A 24,977-nucleotide genomic window follows, 5' to 3' on the forward strand; every position below is an offset into this window, starting at 1 on the left:
GGATGAACAGCTGCGGATACTCGGCTTTGGTGCCAGGAAGACCGCGGGGCGTGGCGGGGACCGGGCCCTGCGAATGGAGCAGCTGAGACTCAGCTCCGCGGAATGACACAAGCCTGGGGCTGCCAGCTCTTCCCATTTTTCAAAAGAAGCTGGAAATGGGTTTTCGTTTAAAATACCCTGGTTTTCGAATCTTGGCCTGACATGTTTTTAAACACCGTATGAGCCAAGCAAAACACATCTGCAGTTTGTATTCAGCGCCACGGGCCGTGGATTTGGGACCTCTTCTGGGGAGTCTAACAAAGGCACTTTACGTCCCAGCGTTGCTATTTCCTGGCTAAACGACCTTGGGCTACAAACAAAAGGCTCCAGGCTTCGGTATCATCCCGTGGAGAGTGACGGTGCCTGCTTCGCGCAGTCTGTCTGAGAATCAAGTGAGATGAGAGACACAAAGTATCTAAAAATCTACTTTTCTACCGGTGCACTTTCAGGTTTATTCAAATTACAGAGAATGCCAGGCGTGATTCTCCAGCCGAGTCTATGAAAAACAAGAAAAAGAAAAGCTTAGCACTTCTTAATGTGTGCGCAGCCAGACACAATGACAGGCTTGATGTTTTCTCTGTGAAATGAGTTATGAGTCATCTGACTCATCTGACAAGGGAATCTGTTGAGATGGAAAAAACAAAATATATGAGTGATCAGTGATGCAAATAAAGCAACACCGTCACGGGCCTTGCCCTGGAGCTAATGGTAATGGTGGCGATCATGATGATGATAATAATCAGAATCATAAAATATACTGAAGGTAAAGATGTACCAGACACATCCCAAATATTTTACCAGTGTAATAATAATAATTATTATACAATGCTTACTTTGTGCTGGGGAAATGTGTGGGTATTAATTCATGTAATTCTCATAGCTACCTTAGAAGGCAGGTACTATTATTTTTCCCATTTTACAGATGAGAAAACTGAGGAAAAGAGAAGTGATGTGGCTTTTCTAAAATCGCTCAGTTGGTAAATGGCAGAGCTGGGATCTGAACCTGGGCATCTTCCTCGGAAGCCCGTGTGATGGTCCTTACACCTCCCCAGGGAAGGGATTCGGCTAGCTGGTGGTGTTTCCAGGCAAGGAGGGCGGCCAATCAGAGGCCCCGCGGAACGGAACTCCAGGGGCAAGCCCAGGCCATCCGAGCATGCACCTGTCTTCGTGTCCACTTTGCTTTTCCGTTCCTTGTGGCCTTTTCACTGTCTTCTGATCATGAGCCCATAAACACTGTCCATCCACTGCAGATAGGGGCAAGCCACAGACCTGACTCTGGGAAGGCAGCTGAAGACAACCAGGAAGGATTTGGAGGCCCTGAAATCGACAAGATATGAAAGGACTAAGGGAGGTTCAGGATGCTGACGAGGAGGAAGAGGCTGCCTCTCACCTGGACAGGTGACAGCATCATTTAATACCTGTATAGGACACTGTCACCTATGCACAGGTGCCTTCCTGGCCATCGGCAGCCTTCCCATTCCCTTATATGCCCGTGTTATTTATTCAAGATCCACAGTGAAAGGGCATCCTCACCAGCATCCTCCTGGGTCTTGCGGGGAGAGGGAGGATCTAGCTCCTTTAAGGACCAGAGTGGGAAGTCGGCAGCAGGAATGACCCAGCCATAGAGCCGTATACTATGATGGAGCCGTGGGTCCCCAAAAAGAAACTAGGGGGCTGTTACCAAGAGGAAATAGATGCTGACCTGCCAAGAATGACAAGTGTCCCCTCGGCCATCCTATCCACAAGGTTAGACAGGTTATCCATGGCCTTTCTGGTTCTGTATTAAGAGCCCTAGCTATGTCGGGCACCCACGCCTGTAATCCCAGCACTTTGGGAGGCCGAGGCGGGTGGATCACAAGGTCAGGAGATTGAGACCATCCCGGCCAACATGGTGAAATCCTGTCTCTACTAAAAATACAAAAATTAGCTGGGTGTGGTAGCGAGCGCCTGTAATCCCAGCTACTCATGAGGCTGAGGCAGGAGAATTGCTTGCACCTGGGAGGCGGAGCTTGCAGTGAGCCGAGATCGCGCCACTGCACTCCAGCCTGGGCGACAGAGCAAGACTCCGTCTCAAAAAACAAACAAACAAAGAAAGAAAGAAACAGAGCCCTAGTTGGACTCCTCACACGCATTGTTCACCAAATCCTTGGTTGGAATATGGGAGGGGAAGCTCCACACTGAGGAACTGTAAGGCAGCCCAGCTCCGCTTGAGCATTGACATGGACGGGAGATGAGGTTCCAGGGCCTCAGGAGCTTCCATTCAATTTAACACTCTTCCGGAAACATACATTCAAGGAATTTTTAGCAAGAACTTATTCACATATGTGCAATTAGGAGAGAAGACCGGTGAAACAGTCATCAGCTCTTTGGTTAAATTATAATTATCAATCTTGTACATGATAAACATAACTTGTATTTGTCACTTAAAAATAAGTAAATACTTTTTTAAAAATACAATAATCAATCTCATTAAATTATAGAGGACATTAGCTCCTTGGAAATGAAAATCTTTGAAATTAATTTGCAAAGAACAAAATTTTGTAAACTGTAATTTAACCAAAGTTATAAAATATAATTTCAAATTAATGTGATCAGCCAGCTTTGGCTTAGAGGGCGGGTATCTGGAGAGAAGGTTAAAGGAAACTTTCCTTTTAAAATGATGCAGTGCTGGGTATGGTGGCTCATGCCTGTAATCCCAGCTACTTGGAGGCTGCGGCAGGAAGACTGCTCCAGCCCAGGAGTTTGTGATCAGCCTGGACAATATAGTGAGACCCCATCTCTACAAAAACTTTTTTTTGTTTGTTTTTGAGACAGTCTCACTGTGTTACTAAGGCTGGAGTACAGTGGCGTAATCTTGGCTCACTGCAACCTCCGCCTCCCAGGTTCAGGCGATTCTTCTGCCTCGGTCTCCTGCCTCAGCCTGGGATTACAGGTGCCCACCACCATGCCCACTAACTTTTGTGTTTTTAGTAGAGAAGGGGTTTCTCCATGTTGACCAGGCTGGTCTGAAACTTCTGCCCTCAGGTGATCTGCCCACCTCAGCCTCCCAAAGTGCTGGGATTATAGACATGAGCCACCTCACCCAGCCTACAAAAACTTTAAAAATAAAAATTAGCTGAGCATGGTGGCAAACGCCTGTAGTCCCAGCTACTCAGTAGGCTGAGGTGGGAGGATCACTTGAGCCCAGGAGGTTGAGGCTTCAGTGAGCTGTGATCCCATCACCACTGCATTCCAGCCTGGGTGACAGAGTGAAACCCTGTCTCTTAAAAAAAAAAAAAGAATATAAGCCCATGGTGTAAGAACAATTGATTTATACAAAAAGCAGACAGTGAAAAGAAAGTGACTCTCTCCAAACTTTTCATCGCTCTTTCTCCTCTCAAAGACTACCAGATCCTTACATAGACTTGTGGAAATATTCCAAGCATATGACTGCATGTATTCATACAGAGCTCCCTCTTGCTCATAATAAGTGTATTGCATATTATTTTGTACCTGTTCTCTTATTTATTTATGATTTATTTTGCACCCCCATGTTGATTGATAAATTATTGATTGATTGGATTTTGATGCAGGGTGTCACTCTGTCACCCAGACTAGAGTGCAGTGGCCCGATCCTGGCTCACTGAAGCCTTCACCTCCGCAGCTCAAGCGATCCTCTCATCTCAGCCTCTCTCTTGAGTAGCTGGGACTACAGATCCACACCACCACACTTGGCTAGCTTGTTATATTTTTGTAGGGATGAGGTCTCACTATATTGCTTAGGCTGGTCTTAAACTCCTGGTCTTAAGCGATCCTCCCACCTTGGCCTCCCAAAGTGCCAGAATTACAGAGGCCTACTGATTTAGCAACCAATAGATCAGTGGTTCTGGGCTACAGGCAACCAACTCCCACTCCACCTGTGACACTGGACTACAGGCAACCAACTCCCACTCTACCTGTGACACTGGACTACAGGCAACCAACTCCCACTCTCCTTGCCAGACTGGGCAATGTCTGAAGACATTTTTGATTGTCACAACTTGGGGGAGAGGTTGCTATGGCATCTAATGGGTAGAGGACAGGGATTCTATTCTGTTAATGTCCTATAATGCACAAGACAGCCCCACAACCAAAAAATGATCCAGCCTACATGTCCATAGTGCTGAGGTTGGGAAACCCTAGCTTGTGAGAGGTGACAGCGTGCTGGCAGTCCTCAGAGCCCTCGCTTGCTCTCGGCACCTCCCCTGCCTGGGCTCCCACTTTGGTGGCATTTGAGGAGCCCTTCAGTCCTCCACTGCACTGTGGGAGCCCCTTTCTGGGCTGGCCAAGGCCGGAGCCCACTCCCTCAGCTTGCAGGGAGGTGTGGAGGAAGAAGCACGAGCGGGAACCGGGGCTGCGTGTGGCGCTTGCGGGCCAGCTGGAGTTCCGGGTGGGGGTGGGCTTGGTGGGCCCCGCACTCGGAGCAGCCAGCCAGCCCTGCTGGCCCCGGGCAATGAGGGACTTAGCACCCGGGCCAGTGGCTGCGGAGGGTGTACTGAGTCCCCCAGCAGTGCTGGCCCACCGGCGCTGCGCTCGATTTCTCGCCGGGCCTTAGCTGCCTTCCCACGCGGCAGGGCTTGGGACCTGCAGCCCGCCATGCCTGAGCCTCCCACCCACTCCATGGGCTCCTGTGCAGCCCGAGCCTCCCCGACGAGTGCCACCCCCTGCTCCACGGCGCCCAGTCCCGTCGACCACCCAAGGGCTGAGGAATGCGAGGGCAGGGGGCAGGACTGGCAGGCAACTCCACCTGCAGCCCCGGTGCGGGATCCACTAGGTGAAGCCAGCTGGGCTCTTGAGTCTGGTGGGGACGTGGAGAGTCATTATATCTAGCTCAGGGATTGTAAACACACCAATCAGCACCCTGTGTTTAGCTCAAGGTTTGTGAGTGCACCAGTCGACACTCTGTATCTAGCTGCTCTGGTGAGGACGTGGAGAACCTTTATGTCTAGCTCAAGGATTGTAAATACACCAATCGGCACTCTGTATCTAGCTCAAGGTTTGTAAACACACCAATTAGCACCCTGTGTTTAGCTCAAGGTTTGTAAATGCAGGAATCAACACTGTATCTAGCTGCTCTGGTGGGGCCTTGGAGAACCTGTGTGTGGAAACTCTGTATCTAACTAATCTGATGGGGACATGGAGAACCTTTGTATCTAGCTCAGGGATTGTAAACGCACCAATCAGCGCCCTGACAAAACAGGCCGCTCGGCTCTACCAATCAGCAGGATGTGGGTGGGGCCAGATAGGAGAATAAAAGCAGGCTGCCCGAGCCAGCAGTGGCAACCCGCTCGGGCCCCCTTCCACAGCGTGGAAGCTTTGTTCTTTCGCTCTTTGCAATAAATCTTGCTACTGCTCACTCTTTGGGTCCACGCTGCTTTTATGAGCTGTAATACTCACCCCGAAGGTCTGCAGCTTCACTCCTGAGCCCAGCGAGACCACGAGCCCACCGGGAGGAACGAACAACTCCAGACGCACTGCCTTAAGAGCTGTAACACTCACCGTGAAGGTCTGCAGCTTCACTCCTGAGCCAGCGAGACCACGAACCCACCAGAAGGAAGAAACTCTGAACACATCTGAACATCAGAAGGGACAGACTCCAGACACGCCACCTGAAGAGCTGTAACACTCACCGCGAGGGTCCATGGCTTCATTCTTGAAGTCAGTGAGACCAAGAACCCACCAATTCTGGACACACTTGGACCAATGAAACTGCGGGGGCCATGTTGTGGCATTGGATGGGACACTGCCCTTATCGGGTCTCCTTTCCAGGATGGTCACTCTGGCAGGGAGAGAGTTGGATGGATTGGAGAGATTAGGGAGGACACACACACACACACACACACACTCTTAAACTGTTTCTAATTATTTGCTCTTGGTTGGGATGAAAAAGATACCGTGTCTGTTGACTTGTGAATGGGGGGCATTCCTGAAGAGGGAGGGAGGAGAGAGACAGAAAGAGAGACGAAGAGGAAGGGAGGGGGGAGAGATGGAAGGACTCATGAGTGACTGTCACAGGCAGGACCCCCCAAGCATTTGCAAATCCTAGCTCACCTATTGCCCTCCTATTTTAAAACTCCTTACTCCTAAATTCTTAACAAGAACCTGTTACCAAAGAATACCATTTTAACTCCACCTAGGCTGAGTGACAGCACAGCACAGGGGTCAGGACCAAGGCTTACAGAGCAGCCCAACCACCTGCCCCTAGGCTCCAAATCTGAATCCTGGATTCAGAATATTCAGGTGTGTATGCAAAGAAGGAAAGGCAACTTCTGTGACTGAGCTACAGGAAATGGAAAGAAGGAAGCCCCCCCTCCCCACGGAAGTAGCTCACCCATATGCTAGAAAAGAAAACCAAATTCTATCTGGAACTGAATCTGATCAGATTGGATTTTCCTCTTTTGGCAAGTGGGGGCTTGGCATTGCAGAGAGAGGTGGAAGAGAGAGGAGGGAAACGGTGCCCCGGACGATTTTCTTTTCCCTCCTGTAAGCTGAGCTTCCGGAGTCACCCCCACTCACCTGTCATGGGCAGCACCCGGAAGCTGCCGCTATCGGGCTGGTCAAAGCTACTGGGGACATGCAGGATTCATTCTGCTTTCATTAAGGACCCCTAAGCATCCTGGCCCAGCCAGACAGGAAGATGCAAAAGAAAAAAAATCCGAGGACAATGAAGCAGTGAGTGAATCGGTTGTGTTAATCTAGGGAAGAAGCCGGTCCACTACCCTCCCCACCTTGGCCAGAACTGGGTAACGCAGAGACCTGAGTCACGGGAAGAGGGTGCAAGATGCCCCTTGGAGGGCACGGCCCTGGGTCCTCATTGGCAGCCGGTTGCACGGAGTCTCTACTCGTCTCTCCCAGGCGTGGAAAAGGCCTCCCGGAATATCTGCAGCTCCAAAGATCATGACTTCAACCTCTGATGAAAAGACAACTCCAACTTCATTTTGGGGCTTACTGTTGTCTCCTTGTCGTGGAAGTATTTTTTAACCTTAGGAAAGTTTAGAATTATATGTGGAACAGAGGCAACTATTGAAATCATAGTATCATGTCATGTTACCTATAAGAACAGCTCTATGGCCAGGCGTGGCGACTCACGCCTGCAATCCCAACACTTTGGAGGCCAACATAGGAGGATCGTGTGAGCCCAGGAGTTAGAGACCAGCCTGAGCAACATAGTGAGACCCCGTCCCTAAAAATAAGATACAAAAACTTGGCCTGGCCTGGTGGTGCACGCCTGTGGTTTCAGCTTCTCAGGAGGCTGAGATGGGAGGATCACCTGAGCCCAGAAAGTTGAGGCTGCAGTGAGCCATAATTGCACCACTACAGTCCAGCCTGAGCGAAGAGTGGGATCCTGTCTCTTAAAAGAAAAATAAGGCCAGGTGTGGTGGCTCATGCCTATAATCCCAGCACTTTGGGAGGCTGAGGTGAGATCACCTGAGGTCAGGAGTTTGAGACCAGCCTGGCCAACATGGCGATACTCCATCTCTACTAAAATACAAAAATTATCTGGGCATGGTGGTGGGCGCCTGTAATACCAGCTACTCGGGAGGCTGAGGCAGAAGAATCATTTGAACCCGGGAGGCGGAGGTTGCCATGAGCTGAGATCATGCCATTGTATTCCAGCCTGGGCAAAAGAGCGAGACTCTGTCTCAAAAAAAAAAAAAAAAAAAAAGAAAAAGAAAGAGAAAGAAATAATGAACGAACAGCTCTATATTTGGTATAGAGTTTCTGACAATAGTCTTCTGACTCCAGCTGAAAATATGTGAGTGAGCATTTGATTTGGGGTTAGTAATTTTAAGCTGAAAAGTTTAAGAAAATGTGAAGTTTAAAACTGGTTACATGATTTGAGATGTTTAACAGAATTTAAGATTTATTCAACTTTTAAGAGTTAAGTATGTTAAGTAGTAAGAAAAACGGAAGTGTTTTTGAAAGATGAGATTATTCCATTAACATATGCTGTTGAAAACATTTGATGAAAGTTAATTAACAAAGTTGCTAATGTTTTCTTCAAGCATAATGTGAAAGTTGGCTAGATTCACATGTAGACTAATGAGGTTTGTAAAATGAACATGGAAGATTAAAGGAGAAGTTGCTTTTTGTGTGTTTTTGGTTTTGTTTTTAATTTACAATTTAAAAAATTCAAAAGCTGGTCTCAAAGACACCACCTTGAGACCAGGTTCAGAGCTTTATCATAACCTTAATCCCCTACCCACCTACTTCCCGAGAAGTAAAAACCAACTCCAGAAAGATTAACACGGAAATGGTGTTTTAAGGGCAATTTGAGGGAGAAATAAGAAAGGGATTTGCATCGTATGGCAGGGTAATAGTTTAATATTTCATCTTAGGCCTCTCACTGCTTCCCCTCACTGTGTCTCTCCTTTCAACGCCCTCTCCTCACCCTGTTTACTCTTCCTTGGTCATCTGTGGACGTGTATTCTTCCATGCATTTTTGTTTTTGTTTTTGAGACAGGGTCTTGCTCTGTTGCCCAAGCTGGAGTGCAGTGGTGGGGTCATGGCTCACTGCAGCCTCGGACTCCCAGGCTCAGGCGACCCTCCTGCCTCAGCCTCCTGAGCAGCTGGGACTACATGCACGTGGCACCACACCTGTCTAATTTTTTTGTTTTTTGTTTTTTTGTAGAAGTAGGGTTTCCTGATGTTGCCCAGGTTGGTCTCAAACTCCTGGGCTCAAGCCACACAACTTTTAAAGTAAGCTTATCCATTTCCTCAATGGATTTTCACTAGGATTCTATTGAACCCATAGAATAACTTGAGGGGGCGATGGCGTGTACTTTCTGTTACTTGCAAACCACAGCTTCCAATCAAGATGCTTCTCATCTCCTTTGTAAAAGTAAAGATTTCTGGCTGCACTTTTAGCCCTTCAGGTGCAATGCATCTTTGGAGGTTAAGCATTTAGTTCAGTCCCCCGGGTATAATTGGTGCTGGGTAAATATTTGTCATATAAGTTAATTTCATATCTAAACTCATCCTACAAGAAGTTGAGGTTTCAGAGCAACTCGTCTCATCCTCGTATAACTTACCTGGAGCAGCTTAGCCTCTAGGTGGCACTGCAGAGCCGGAGACCTGAGTATCCAGCCTTCATTAAATAAACCATCTCAAAGAAAAATGAATAGGGAGTAATTTGGGGAGATTAGATGGCTTGGGCTGGGACTCCTACCATTGCTCTCGCAATGCTCCATCTCTGGAGCTGGGGGGAACGTCTCAGTTCAGAAATTCCAGAACCATTCATCAACCCTTGGCGTTGACATGAAATGAAATAAAGTCGTTAGCTTGTAAAATACAGGATTTCGTTCTCCCTATATCTGTCAATCTGTTTTATGGTTGGTTCAGCCCTGCCATAAAATGTGAAGGAATTAGAATAAATGCTGGATTTACCGCTCCTTGAATACGCTTTCTGAAATGATACAGCCACGCGATACGGACACTCGGAGCCAGACAAGAACTTCTCTGTGCAGATTGTATACTCTAGTCCCTCCGGAGTTCATGAGCTTGGCCAAGGGGAGCTGCCTGTAGCATGTCTGCAGGGAAAATTAACATAAAACCGAATAAGTGACATCTTCAAGTGACTTCATCAATGGGAGCTAAGTCATGCCAAAGTTGTCTACTTGGGGCAGCGTAAACAAAGAAAGAAGTGACATACACCAACATCGATGGAGCCCCAAACATTATTCTGAGCAAAAGATACCAGACCAAGAAGTGGGTGTGTATTCTATGATGTCATGTATTTAAAATTCTGGCAAAGGCAAATCTAATCTATAATGGCAGAAAAGAGATAGGGAGTTATCTACAGTTGGGAACGGGGGTGATGGAGGGGCACAGAGAACTTTAAGGGTGATGCTAATGTTCTTCTATGTCTTTATTAGGATGGTTACCTGAGTTGTATATGTTAATCAAAACTCATGAAATCATTGCAATTAATGAGTTCAGGTGAGACTCACCTGAAGTAGGTGAGATTTATTGTATATAAGCTATACATCAATAAAGTTCATTTAAAAAAATCAGGATGTCTGACTTGGCACAGAAACTCCAGAGCCATGTTGCCGTGTGTGGACAGTAACTAATAGTGAATATACTCAGAAACTTTTTAAAAAGTTGTTCACTTCCTTATTTGATAAAGTATTAATTATCAGCAAATGTCAGCAATGCAGGCCAAGGGGCTTTGGGCAACAGCCAGCAGTGTTCATTAGCCTTAACCATCTCTGAAATATTTTCAATAAATGCATAGTTTATTCTTCCTCTACATCCCTAGGCTGTGTTTCTATGAAAGGCTCCTTGTCCTCTTGGAGATGGCTTCATTAGTCTTGGTAACAACTAACTGGTCATCTGGAAGTCAGCATGAGCTGGACAGGAAGTCAAGGACGGTCACCATTCATTTATTCATTTATCTGTTTGTTAATTCACTATTTCCTGAGTACCTATGAGGCCAGCTCTGTGTTCAGCAATTTTATGACAGAAAATGAGTTCGGATCTATCCTAAGAAGTTCACATGGATTAATTTAGTATTTATTAAATACTAGCTGTCTAATTGTTGTATGTAGAAAAAAGTTTGTGCTTCAATGGAAAACTATTATTTGTCACAGAGGACACCCATCTGATTATAGTCTTTCATTGTCTTTGAGCTATATTACAAATCTTTAAGTTGAAGATAACCGGCAGAAATGCAAAAATCATTCATATAGAAATGCAAATCCTATAAAGGCTAGAGATCCTATAAGAGGAGGACGGTCGGTAGACGTCCAGTTGACCTCCTTCCTCTGAAAGAATCAAGCTTGCCTTCATTTGAGCAGACATTTCAGCATTCCTGATCTATAAATGTGTCTGTTCTTAGGATTCTCTTTAGAACTGGTGGTAACATCTGTCGGGTTTCATCATTTACTAGTGAGCAGAATAGAATGTAATCATTAACATGCATTCATTTGTAAATCTGCATGACAGTCACGATTTTACCTTTTTTGAGAATTATCTTTTAACACACGATATACAGGGAACACTAACAATTAGCGCAGTTGGGGAGGTTACTGACATCCCAGATCACTGGGAATGGGGCGCTGGCTCCATTTGGTACCATCTCAAATTCTGGAACAAGGATTCTCTCCCCCACCATCCCCACACATCCAGTCCTCGAATCTGGCTCTCTGGGGCTTATGTTTTTCTCTCATGATATTGAAGGATACAGGCTAGGGTGGCCTGCACTGGCTAAAACTCCTAGAGGCTGGGGTGTCACTCCTGGTAGATGCTCCACAAGCAAAATCCTGGCTGCTGTCATCAGGGGACCCTCAGTGGACCCCAGGGGAGGTGGCTTGCACGGCGTCTCTGTGCAGGGCTCAGTGGGGGCACAGCAGAGTGTGGGCACGTGGGCTGCTGGCTGAAGGGCCCACGCTCATGGGTGTTAGGGATGACAAGGGTCACACAGGAGGCAGAGGTCCCATAGCCCCACGGTTCCTAGACCTGACTCAGGAAGCGAGCCCCATGTGAGGCCGGCCTGCGTTTCAAAGGCGGAGGTGCTAATAATCCCAAAGGAGGACCACTTTCTCCCCAAATCAGAGATCGTGGAAAATGACAAGGCAGCCCACCCACCGTCCACTCACCCGCAGGCATCTCCACACCTGTCGTGGCCCCTGCAGCCAAGGCAGGCCTGTGTCCATCTGGCTGTCTGGACACAAAGGAGGAAGGGCCTGCCCGTGGTCAATTTTCCACCCGGCCCCTCCCCTCCTCACTCTTTCCAACAGCGCTCCCTTTGTTGGGAAGGGTGTGGTGGGGAACTGACCATGGGGGAGGCCCTTTCAAAGAGGAAATAAGGTGTGCCGGCACACCAGCACACGACGCTTGACCCCACACCACTCTGAGTCTGCAAATGCCCGTCCAAAGGCTTAGGTTGCAAATCACTCGCTCTTCAACACCTGTCTATCGCAAGCCTCCGATGCACTGTGCACTTTCTTATGGTTGCTGGAGATGGATACACAAACCATCAAACAACAATCTTTTGACTTCTGCTCCTTCGTTGCAGAATTTGGGAACCTGTCATGACCTTTCACCACCAGAAAAGACCACCCTGACTGATGAATCTGGGCAAGTTACCACTGTACGGATTGTGAGGTCGGTGACCGAAACTGCCGTTGATCACATGAATATATAAATGAAGAAATAAATGACAGAACCCATGAGAAGATGCTTGCTCGTGGATTTTAAATTTCCTATTGGCTAGTCTGGAATCACTTGGGGGTAGAACAAGATAAAGTTGGCTGTATCACCTATGCAAACATGGTAACAACAGCACATTGACATTAGAAAGTAAAACACTCAGTATTCTATGCAACAAGTTGGCAGATTACAACCCATGGGCCAGCTGCGTGCTTTTGTAAATAAAGTTTTATTGGAAAGCGGCCATGCCCCTTCATCTAATGTGTTATAGTGGCGGAATTAACTTGCTGTGACAGAGACTGTAAGTCCCCAAAAGCCTAAAGTATTTACTGTCTGGCTGTATACAGAAAAAGTTTGCCAACCCCTGATCTATGCTAAATACCTATTACTGTCATTGTTTAACAGCTGGAAACGGAAGCCACCTTAGTTATTTTAGGGAGAAAGGGAATTTAATAAAGGGAATTGGCAGTTTATAAAAGCAGTGGAAGGACTGTAGTTGAGGACAGCACCCAAGACCTCCAGAAATAGCTCCTAGAACAACCCCACAGAACCAGGCAAGGCAGGGAGTGCCTCCCCTTAGGGGTGAGGGAAACAGTACATACTACACTCTGGGACCAGGAAGCCACGCCTATGGTCCCCATAACTGCCTCTGGGCACCTGTGGATTTAGAAACTGTGCACTGGCCTCAAATGCAAAAACAATTTCCATCCCCTCTCTAATGATGTTGCCTGTAGGAACATTACAGTGGGTAGCTAGTCGGGCATGAGCAGGCAGGAGAGGGCTCCCCGCCACACAGACACACATACACCAGGAGTGTTGGGGGCCATCAGGTGGTGGTCAGGAGGTTGTTAACTGTCTCTCGAAAGTAATAACTGATCACAGCCAACACCAGGGAAAGGCAGGCTCCTAATAGATAGAAAACAGGTGAAACTCATCAGCAGTTTCCCAATAAGATCCTGGGAGTGGGGGAAGAGACACCAGACCCCGGGAGTAGCCAACGAATAAAACCCAAGTCAAACAGTCAAGCTGCACACTGGTCTTTTGAGTCACCTGCTTGGCCCTCTTCCAAGTGTACTTTCCTTTCCTTCTTGCACTAAAGTGTTTTGATCAACTTCCACTCCTGCTCTAAAACTTGCCTCTCTCTCTCCCATCTTGTGCCCCTCCTCAGATTCTTTTTTCTGGGGAGGCAAGACTTGAGGTTGCTGCAGACTCAGATCCCTTCCACGGCGAACAGAAGCATCACAAGGACGGCTTTCTCCTATGTGAAGGCTGCAGAAGGAGATTTCAGCTGTTGCTCAGGACGGCTCCCTGGCATCACCGGGAGTCCTGAGAGCTCATCGGAATACCGATCACAATGCTGGTGAAGCCAAGCGTCGCGCAGGGGCTCTGGGGAGAAGACGCCCAGGTTAACATAGGAGGTCGTTAGGCAGCACCCTCCCTTCCCGCATCTCCCCCCAAAAAAGCCTCCGAAAATTGCTCCGTGCCCACTTTGCAATAGAAAGTTCAGTGCCAAAACCAAAAAATAATGGATCATAGTGTCTTCTCAGAGTGGTGTTGGCAACACCAAAGGTTGCGGCAGAGGGGCAAGTTTTGCATCCTTTTCCTATTTTTGTTAACAAAACTGACAAACTATAGACCCCACAGCAAGCAGAGGTGGGGATGAGGTTACACTCCTGATGTTTTGGGTTTAAATTTATTACCATCATAATGCATGGCTCTCAAGCAACAGAGTGCTATACTAATAAGTGTAATAATAGATTTGAGCTTAGCGTCATAGGCTGTGAGAGAACAGGGTAGCAGAACCACACCTCTGTCCACCTCCAGGCTGAACACCAGGGGCTTTTCCCATCAGGGTCTCTGGGTCCACCTGCAGGTCAACTTTGAGAAACAGCCGCTGCTGCTGCCCTCTAGTGGCGATTCTCGGAACGGGCACTCGGAGAGCGAATGCTGTTTCTTACCTCACTGCTGGTGGGAAAATTAGATGATCAAAAACGCCACAAATATCTTTGGCTTAACCTTGATTCAAATTAAGGTCAAAACTCCTGGCCACAGTTACTAATCACTTGAGGGAGTAAAAAGCAATCGATGTAGCTTTTTTGTCAGTTGGCACAGGCTTTGAAAACGCAAAGCCCTATTTGTAAGATTAGAAGGTTAGTAAATGTTTGCATATCAGTTAGCGTAACATTTAAGGTCAATATATACTTTTTCTGGGTTTTGGCATCAAATGTTACTTAGGAGACGAAGAACTTTCTCCTTCTCTTGAAAGATTTATTTATTCCATGAAGCATGCACTTACAACCTTCAGTCTCACTGTCATGAATTTGCCTGAAGGGGAAAGAAAAAATGAGCTTCCTAAACATAATTTTATATGTTTTTAATTTTTTTCCAGAACATTAAAGTAGTTAAAAATATTGAAAACTTGAAAAGCAGATATATGAACACTTACAGAAAAAACGTAAATATAGTTTTATACCAAGATAGAATTCATTATCATTTTACTTCACTTAGATTAATTTAAAACCATTTAAGATCACCCCCAGTCAAGAGAAACTGTCAAACATGACTGCTGTCCCCATCGAAAGTGAGACAAGCAGAGAAGTCGTCTCTGAAGATATTTGTGGTGAGTTTGCTTCCCTGTCTTTCTTGCTGCCTGAGGTTCCGGCCTGGCACAGCTCTCAATCAGCCCTTATTCAAAATGTTAGATTTTGAGCATCTTAGGTTTTTTCATTCATTTTAAATTTTGCCCCTGAGGCAAGTGCGTTACTCACTTTCCCCGTGGTCTCCAAACTCGGAATCTTCTCACAGAAGATTATGCTGCATGGAAGATTGTTGTAGAACACTAATCAATCACTAGGTGTGATAACACGTTTTTCAGAAGAGATCAATTTTCCCCAACCTTGTGATCATTAACTTATGAGCTATGCCTCATTGATCTAACACTGTTAAAATCAATCAACCTAAAAACGATGTTGATATGGTTAGAATTATGGACATAGCCAAGGCATTCTTCCTGAAAAATAACTTTATTTTCAAGGAAAAATTGACAAGGGACTCTAATAAAATGCTTGGCAACACAATAAGCCATTTGGATTTTTCCATGACAGCATTTCCATGCTTCATTGGTATAATAACAATAAAGAAATGAGTCAATAAAACAGGCCACACAGATGATGAAAGATCGATTCAGTATTATTTTGCTGACATTTTAGATTTAATCTTCACATAATCTGGCTTTAGCAGAAGTCGCTGAAATCAATATGTTTCTTTTTAGCTATGTGGTTTTATTACCTTTTCTTGATTAGTATATTAACTAGCAGATTAGAGCATACAAGATTTCCTACAATATATTCAATTCACAAAAATAATGTTTCCCAATTCATCCACTTCAAAATGACCTTAAACTCCTGTATAGGAAAGATGAATTGCTTTTTTCTGGCAGACCTGGGAGCTGTCTAAGGGGCTCTTGGATGGACTTTGCAGCCATATCACACTCCTAAGAGGTGTGGGTTTAGACATCAACCTCTCTGCCCTGAACCACATTCTCTGTTGAACTTCCTCACCATTGATTTTTTTCTTAAATCTGAGGGTCAAAGCTTTCTATTATTTTCATTATATTTTTATCTCACTAGTTCTAACCTAATGCTCCAGGCAGTTGGGAAAATATTATCTAAATATCTGCTTTCATGGCTCATCTCTAAATCGGATCAGTAGGCTGAGCCTTTGCTAAAATGATTGAAAAGAACAAGAACAAGGTGAGATCTGGGTGTCCCTGCAGCAAAGGCTGCCTCCAGGTGAATCTTCATTTAGAAACAGAGCAGCCAAGAACACACGGGAGCCATCGCTGTTGCTTGTCCTAAATGCATTCTCTCGCTTGCTAAAATTCAGATACAGGGGACTGAGGCATTCTCTCACTTGCTAAAATTTAGATACAGGGAACTGAGGCATTCTCTGATCAAGAGACTCATCTCTGAAAGAAAATGAGATTGGCTTCATTTTCAGGCTTTCTCTCAGGAAGTGAGAGCAAACGCATGCTTCCTTTGCATGAATGCCATCTTCCTTCTGAGGCTCTCAAATGGGGTAACTCTGCTTCCCTGTTAGTGAAGGACGTTTCCGTGGTCAGCGGCAGAAACCATACAAAATGCACTTAAGAACAAACAGAAGTGACAGGATTGCATGACTGAAAAGTTTACAAGTAGTTCTGGCTTCAGGCATCGCTGGATCAAGGGGTTCAGAAATTCTCACCAGGACTCAGTCTCTCTCAAGCTCTTGTTTCTGCTTTCACAGGTGGTGACTTCATTTTCATTTCTAGGCAGGTTTGCCCTGTCTAAAAGCCAGATACGCAGTATATCTAGGCTTCATCATATTAGCTATAATTCCAGTGGAAAAAAGAGATTAAAAAATACCAAGAATCAATCCCCTTGGCCTGAGCACCCAGTTAGGATCAATGATCAACTCCTAGATCAATCACCATTGCTGCCTGTGGCAATGCTGCGAATGGCCCAGCCCCGGGTCCCATGCCACTGCTACAGGAGAGAGGTGGGGTTGGACCCACACAGGTCAAATAGGATGCTGCCTCCAGGAAAGGGGCACTAGGTTCCAGGAGGACAAAAACACAGATGTTCCCTCCACAGTGCAGTCAGAGCCCTGCCATGACCTGACAGCAAGCACTCAGATCTGTAGGTTTCCGAGACCCACGTCATCTCCCTGTTGAGAGTGGAGTTCACATTCACTCGCCTGCTGTTTCCTGGTCCCATGCTGATCCTCCTGGTCCCATGCTGATCCTCCTGGTCCCATGCTGATCCTCCTGGTCCCATGCTGATCCTCCTGACGGTCACTCAAACATCCATCATCCAGTTCTCAGCGACCACAGTCACTGGCATGGCTAGCACTGCTCTTGGTCCTCAGCTTCCTCAAGTCATTCCCTGTGTGTTTTTGGCTTTGACGCCCTTCTGCAACTGTATTCACATCCTCTTTCTATATGCATGTATATATTATAACTCATGGCTCGGTCATGCTCCTTTATGGAAGAGTTCCTTTTAAAAGAAATGGAGAAAATGCTTAGAAAAAGTGTATTTAAAATAATGTTTCCCCTACTTTTATCCCTTTCGGTGGCATTTCCAAAGAAAATCTAGGAGTCCACTTACTTCTCAATCCCTTCAGCAGAAAGAATTTCAAAACAGTGGGCTCACACTTCTGTGGCATTTTCAGTCTTCTTCACATTGGAACTATTTACTCATGGTATGTTTGTGGGCGTCCCTGCCTTCTGTGGACCAGGAGCCCCTGGGGAGTCTTGTTCCTTGCTCCTGGTGGAGCCTGGTCAGCACCTCACTCCGTGGCTTCGCGCTTCGCAGACACAGCGCACCTGTCATCGGATGAATTGATTGGGCATCTTGTCGAACACCAGCACGGGTTGTGCTAATGATTCTTAGCTCCATTGCAGCATAGCTGCAAATCAATCACTGTCTTCCAGAATTCCTGGATATTTCTTTTTTTCTAATCAGAAAGACAGTAGCAACACCTGGTGCCGAAGAAGTGTAGAGATGCTGATTTGTGTTTAGAGCATGCTCAGAGTTGACCTTCTCAAATCAAGAGGAAAATAAAGAGAAAAAGAGAGAATTCCTCGGCCCTGGCCAGAAATGGAGGGTGGACTTACAGCCAGGTGCTCAGGTACCAGATTGGTGGTTACTCTTCTGGCCTCGAGGGCATCAGCGTTGCTGACATGAACACAGCAGCCCCTTTCAGTCAGGTTTTGCTTTCAGTTACCCACGATCAACCACCGTCTGAAAATATGCAGTGGATCACTCCAGAAATAAATCATTTATAAGTTCTAAACTGTGTGCCATTCTGAGTAGTGTGATGAAGCCTGGCACAGTCCTTCTCCACCCTATCCCTGACATGCATTATTCCTTTGCCCGGCATGTTCACGCTGCAGACACGACACTCCGCGCCCACCAGCGGCTCAGCAGCCATCTTGGTGGTGAGCTGGACTTTCTCTGTATCACAGTGCTTGCATCCAGGTCACCCTTATTTGACTTAAGGATGGTCCCAAAAGACCATGTGCACGTGGCAAAGGCAGCCGTAAAGCACTTTTTTTTTTTAGTGAAAAGGTGAAAGTTCTCCACTTAATCAGGAAATAAAAGGAATGATAAGCTAAGGTTGCTAAGATCTTTGGTAAGAACGAACCTTCAATCTATGAAGTTGTAAAGAGGGAAAAATAAATTTGTGCACAACATCCATAGAGGTAAGCACTACCCGAGCTTTCAGGCATTCCCTGGGGGTCTTGGAACTCGTCCCCGGTGGATAAGTGTATGACTGGGGCTCTGCTTCCACTGGAGATCAGGATGTCTTCAATGTCTAAAAGAATGCACGAGACCCTGAGAATGCACCGGGAACATGCTCCCCAAACATATCCTTGCTTGTAAAATCACCCACTATTCTCTGAATATCCTCTCTCAACAATTAAAGTGACAGTTCTAAGTTATCACTCAGAGGATGTGGGGCCAAGTGCAGATATTAATTCTAAGAAATTCTTAGGCTGGGTGTGGTGGCTCACGCCTGTAATCCCAGCACTTTGGAGGCCGAGGCAGGTGGATCACGAGCTCAGAAGATCGAGACCAGCCTGGCCAACATGGTAAAACCCTGTCTTTTCTAAAAATACAAAAATTAGCTGAGCGTTGTGGTGTGTGCCCGTAATCCCAGCTACTCGGGAGGCTGAGGCAGGAGAATTGCTTGAACCCAGGAGGCCGAGGTTGCAGTGAGCCGAGGTCATGCCACTGCACTCCAGCCTGGGCAACAGAGAGAGACTCTGTCTCAAAAAAAAAAGAAAAAAGAAAATAGAAAAAGAAAAAGAAAACGATAAAAAAAGAAATTCTTTGCAAACAAAGAGTGAGAAACGCCATGGAAATTCTCCTGCGGGGACCTGTGTGATGACAATCAGATGGGTCATGCGGCCTTGAAGTTGTCGCTCTTCTCCTAGGTGAAGTTACTGGCACTGTGAGCAGAACCTGCCCAAAATGGCAGATCTCCATGGGGCCTCAAGGTCCAGTGTGAAGCGCAAGTCCTGCTGGAAAGGAAGGCGATCAGGGCTGGCAGAGAGCAGCACGTCACATGGCTCGGCAGGTGCTCTGCGTATGACAGCGCCTGGGAGAAATGGGAGATGACGTGCATTGCAAGCTGGACACAGTCCATGCAGGCCCCACCTCAAGATGGGCCCCACTTTAGGGGAGACCCTACTTGCTTGCTAAGAATGTCAATTAATGCCCCGTTTCTTTCTGCGGCCCAGAGAGCACCCGGCACGGCTCCCAATGCTGATGGCATCTTCATCGGGCAGCTCCTGGGAGGGCACTGGGATGAGGAGTTTGGCCAGGGAAAGGTAGCCAACTGTTCAAACTGTCCAAATCATGCAAACACAGAGCTGTAACTAATCTCTTATCATGCCTATTTTTATGGTTATTTCTTGACGAATTGTTAAACAAGGGGTGGATTATTCCTGCCTCCCCTTTCTAGAGCATATAGGGTAACTTCCTGATGTTGCCATGGCATTCCTAAACTGTCATGGCGCTGGCGGGAGTGTAGCAGTGAGGACAGCCAGAGGTCACTCTCATCGCCATCTTGGTTTTGGTGGGTTTTAGCCGCTTCTTTACTGCAACCTGTTTTATCAGCAAGGTCTTTATGACTGCTATCTTGTGCTGACTTCCCATCTCATCCTGTGACTTAGAATGCTTAACCTCCTGGGAATGCAGCCCACCAGGTCTCAGCCTCATTTTACCCAGCCCCTATTCAAAAGGGAGTTGCTCTGGTTCAAATGCCTCTGACAAATCTGGCTGTTTCTGTCCCTTACTTCTGTTTTCTGTACTTCACTTTCCTTTCTCTGTTGATAAATCTTCTTCCGCCCCATGGCTGTGCTGGAGTTTCTGGGCCTAGCCTGGCTCAGGAGACTGCCTGATTTGTGAATCGTTCTTTGCTCAATTAATCTCCTTTAAATTTAATTTGGCTAAAGTTTTTCTATTAACAACAGCAAGGGCTGACTGATGTATCTTAGAGCAAAATCGTGTCTCTTCAACAAGGCCCTGCGTGATGTGGGCCCTGTCTACCTCTTCAACTCACTGTGTATGACAACACAGACCTGCTGTCTGCAGCCTCAATCATCAAACCTGTTCCTGCTTCAGGATCTGTGAACTGGCTCTTCCATCCTCCCAGGAATCCCTCTCCCGCATACCACCATTCTCCCGCATCTCACCATTCTCCTGCATCCCACCGTGGCTGGCCTCCTGGGTTGATTTTGGTGCCAGCTCTCACATCTCCTCCTCCAGGAGCCCTCCCCAATGTCTCCGTCTAATTGTTCCCCTCCATGTTCCCCTGTCACCGGCCCTGTTCCATGTTTCCTGGTAGCACTCATCACTACCACTTTTTACAGATGTCCTCATGTGTTTGCTCTGTATCCCGTGTCTCCTCCCTCCAGATCATAAGCTTTCTGAGAACACAAGCCATGTCTGACTTATCACTGTTGCTGGCTCCAGAGCCTGATCATAGCAGCTGTTCAATAATATTTTTTAAACTGAACCTTAACTAGTTTCCATCTCAAATATATATGCAGAGAAGATGGTTATTACACCCATAAGTTTACCTATGAAATCAACAAACTAGTATATATGCCTTGTTAAAGTCCAAAAAGAGAAGGTTGTCAGGAGAATCAAAACAAAGCCAGCCCGAATGAGGAGTGGTTGTGAGGTCTCCATAAAGAGCCCGCCCTAGGAGGTGGGTTGATCTGGGGCCCCGAGAGCAGGCAGGAGCCTGGGCTCCCAGCAGCTGAGGGCCTCCAGGTCTGTTTTCATGTAAACTAGTGAACGATCCCAGCTTCTCAGGTCGGTTTTCATGTAAACTGGTGAGTGACCCCAGCTTCTCAGACCTCCTCAATCCTGCTAGGGAGCTTTGATGGTTTGGATCAGGAAAAAAAAAAAAAGTCTTTCTAGATGAGAACTGAAGAGACAAATCAGCCTTCAAATTGGGCATCTCTCTATACCTGTCCCACCTGCATGGAAGAAAATGAGGAAGTGTCCTCCCTCGGGAAGTAATAATCCAGATAATAACATGCTTGCCTGACACCATTCCTTTCATCTTAGCATCTCGGAGCTCTTAGAAATATTAAGGATTTAATGGGTGTCACTGGGACGCAAAGCCATTCCAAAGCAGCCGGTATCTCAGGTTCCCATCTGGGAATGGGCTTACTCTGGTCCATTATAATGACAGCCCTGTAAGCAAGGTGCTATTAGCCTGTTTCCCAGATGTGGGGGAGTGAGAGCCAGGCAGGGCTGATAACATTGCCACCTACTCCCTGCCTCAGGAGTGCCATAGAGGCCAGTGACATCGTGGGTGCTTCAGGTTGGCAGGGACTCAGGAGGTTGGAGTCACAACTGAATGAAGAGGAATCAGAGCCTGGGAGTTCACATGCAGACCAGCAGGACAAAGGCAGTCCATTCACTCCACGAGAATGCACTGCACAAAAAGACAATCCAGTGGGAAAAAAAAGTGGTCAAATGACTTGAGCAGACATTTCTCCAAAGAAGATATACAAATGGCCAATAATCACAGGCAAAGATGCTTGTATTAGTCTGTTCTCACACTGCTAATAAAGACATACCGGATACTGGATAATTTATAAAGGAAAGAGGTTTAATTGACTCACAGTTCCCCAGGGCTGGGGAGGCCTCAGGAAACTTACGATCATGGTGGAAGCAGAAGCAAACACATCCTTCTTCACATGGCAGCAGCAAGGAGAAGTGCCGAACAAAAGAGGGGAAAGCCCCTTATAAAACCATCAGATCTTGTGAGAACTCACTCACTATCACAAGAAAAGCAGCATGGGGGTAACTGCCCCCGTGATTAAATTACCTCCCACTGGGTCCCTCCCACAACACATGGGTATTATGGGATTGCAATTCAAGACAAGATTTGGGTGGGGACACGGACAAACCATTTCAGTGCTCAACACCATTAAGTCACGAGAGAAATGCAAATCAAAACCACAATGAGATACCACTTCACATCTCCTAGGATGACGCTACTCAAAAAGGCGGAGAACAACAAGTATCAAGAAGGATGTGGAGAAAGTGGGGCCCTCCTGCACGACCGGTGGGAGTGGACAATAGTGCAGCCACTGTGAACAGCAGTTTGGTGGTTCCTCAAAAAGTTCAATGTAGAATTACCACATGACCCAGCAGTTCCAATCCTAGGCTTAGATCAAACAGAATGGAAAACAGATACTCAAACACAACATATTCACAACGCATTCATAGCAACACTATTCACAATAGTAAAATGATGGATTAGTGGGTACGAATATGGAGTTTGATAGAAGAAATGGGACCTAGTGTTTGGTAGATCAGTAGCGTGACTACAGTTTCCAATAATCTCTTGCATATTTCAAAATAGCTAGAAGAGAAGAAATAGAATGGTACCAGCATGAAGACAATATTTAAGATGATGGAGATCCCAAGTACATAGATTTGATCTTTACAAATTATTTGAATGTATCAAATTACCACATATGTCTCAAAACTATGTACACCTATTATGCATCAATTAAAAAGCTTTTAAAAAAGTAGAAACAATGGATGAATGGATAAACAATTGTGATATATCCGTAAAGTAGAAGATTATTCAGCTGTATAAAGGAATGAGGCTCTGATATGTACTACAAGATGTAGGGGCCTTGAAAACACCACGCTAAGTGAAAGAAGCCAGTCACAAAAGGCCACATGGAGTATAATGCCATTGATATGAAATGTCCTGAATTAAATAAAGCCACAGCGGCAGGAAGTGGATTCATTGTTGCCAGGGACAGAGAACAGGGAGAAATGGAGAAGGACCACTAGCGGGTACAGAGTCTCCTTTCGGGGTAATGAGAATGTTTTGGAAATAGGTAGAGGAGGGGGCTGTACAACATTGTAAATGCACTAAATGCCACTGAGCTGTTCGCTTTAAAATGATTAACTATGTTCTATGAATGTCAATTTAACTTTTTTAAATGCAGAGTTTCTTTACAATAAAATGACAATCGCTGACATTTACTGAGCACTTCTATATGCCAGCCTCCATTATCATCACTGGTCTCAGATCAACTCAGTTAATCCTCCCAGCAACCCTGCCAGATAGGGACTATTAGTCTCACTTGCAGATGAGAAAATTGAGACACAGAAAGTTAATAAATTGCCCAAGTTTCCCAATATAATAAGAGGCAGAGCCAGCACAGACCCAGGCATCTAAACAACCAGGGGTCCTGCACCAGTAACCTTTGGCACTAGAAATTCACACTGATCACTGGGTGCCTGCTCTTGAGGTGCTTCTATTCTGAAGGGTGGGCACAGATGATGAACTAATTGCCAAAAAAAGCCTCCTTGCAGGCTGTGAAAAGCCCTCTGATCAAATGCAAATACTAACTATAGTTCAATTTGGAACAACACTTTTGCACCGATTGCAACTGAGATTGGCTAAAGATTCACGAGTTTGGCAAACATAACCAGAAGCATTCCATGAAGATTAACTGTCTCTCATGGAATGTATACTAAATATGATTGTATACTTTTTACTGTTTGTAATTTGTGTACTACACAGTTTTTATATTAGTAAAATTTATTATATATGTGTATATAGATGTAGGTATGCAACACACAGATGTATATATCATATGCACATCCCACCCCCAGCCTGGAACTTGTTATTAAACATTTTCTAGCAAAACTATTCCCTACTCATGGAATTTTCATTCTCCTGTCAGTCTCCAGGGTGAGCAATGTAGGGATCACAGAACAAATTCAACCTAAAGAAGAAAACTGTCTGAATATAAGCCCAAAGAAGGAAGTTAAAGAGACCATCCTTTGAGAAAAAAGCATTTAGTGTTGGGGACCAACCTAGGCTTTCATTTACCCAATAGCGTGAGTTTAGGCGATCTATTATCTAGATCTATTATCTATTATCTCTATTATATTTAATCTCAGGAAGACTCAGTTTGTTTATCTGTAAAGTAGGGGACACAAGAGGAATGAGAGTTGTCATGAAGATTAATAGTCGCTAAAATATGTTGGTTCTAAGGGCTGACCCTGAGCTAGGCATTCTACATGCATTCTCTCTGAATCCTCAAAATACCCCTAATATCTACCCATCCCTCTGGAATGGGGAAGCAGCGGCAGAGGGAGGCGAGCACAGCCTGACCCCAGGGCGCAGAGCTGCACAGAACGCGTCCACGCTCCGACCGCAGAGTCTGCTCCCAGCTGCTGGGCACACCCCTGGCTCAGAGGCGCACAGAGTCAAGCCTGATAAGCGGTATTATCCTGGAGGCAAGGCTGCTTACTGGCTCTGGCTTGGTCGCCTGCGTCCGGAACCTGAAATCCACAAAGGTGCACACAGATGTGGGTCGCTGCCTTCCCAACAGGCTCCTGCCCGGTTCACCTGGGGAAGCGCAGGGCTGCGGGCACAGGATTCTCCCATCAGACACCGGGAGAGCATCTCCGCGGCAGCTTGCAGGGCCCGCTGTCTCCACTAGGGGGCGGCGTACGCGCGTCTCTCGAAGCCGGGACCCGCGCGGGGAGGCTGCACTGGCTGGAAACAGCGCCTGGGCGCTCCCGCGGCTCCCACCTCAGAGATGTCCCCAGGTGCCCCACGCCCCCCGCGCGAGCCCCGACACGCGAGCCCCACCGCACTCCTCAAGGGCTTGTGTGGATCCTTTTGTCCCCACCCCCAAGGAGCTCCTCTGACCCAAATTCCTGCTG

At 46.4% G+C, this 24,977-nt stretch overlaps 2 long non-coding RNA genes across 2 annotated transcripts, besides 1 other annotated feature; both read right to left on the reverse strand.

The window, feature by feature from the left end:
* Positions 1 to 471: 471 nt before the first annotated feature.
* LOC124903087 (uncharacterized) lies at positions 472 to 1,328 on the reverse strand. Its single transcript, XR_007063614.1, has 2 exons — positions 1,199 to 1,328; positions 472 to 535 (listed from the first exon to the last, which is right to left on the reverse strand). It is a non-coding gene; the product is annotated as an uncharacterized LOC124903087 (long non-coding RNA).
* Positions 6,219 to 6,720: an enhancer, noted in NCBI's record as "H3K4me1 hESC enhancer chr12:130508431-130508932 (GRCh37/hg19 assembly coordinates)". NCBI's record gives its function as "activates a minimal SCP1, AML or CMV promoter by ChIP-STARR-seq in naive H9 embryonic stem cells {active_cell/tissue: H9 hESC(naive)}" and the evidence as "EXISTENCE:reporter gene assay evidence [ECO:0000049][PMID:30033119]".
* LINC02418 (long intergenic non-protein coding RNA 2418) lies at positions 16,145 to 24,675 on the reverse strand. Its single transcript, NR_024457.2, has 3 exons — positions 24,560 to 24,675; positions 17,355 to 19,350; positions 16,145 to 17,243 (listed from the first exon to the last, which is right to left on the reverse strand). It is a non-coding gene; the product is annotated as a long intergenic non-protein coding RNA 2418 (long non-coding RNA).
* Positions 24,676 to 24,977: the final 302 nt, after the last annotated feature.

The sequence above is a fragment of the Homo sapiens genome, chromosome 12, assembly GCF_000001405.40.
Source record: "Homo sapiens chromosome 12, GRCh38.p14 Primary Assembly".
Classification (NCBI taxonomy): Eukaryota; Metazoa; Chordata; class Mammalia; order Primates; family Hominidae; genus Homo; species Homo sapiens.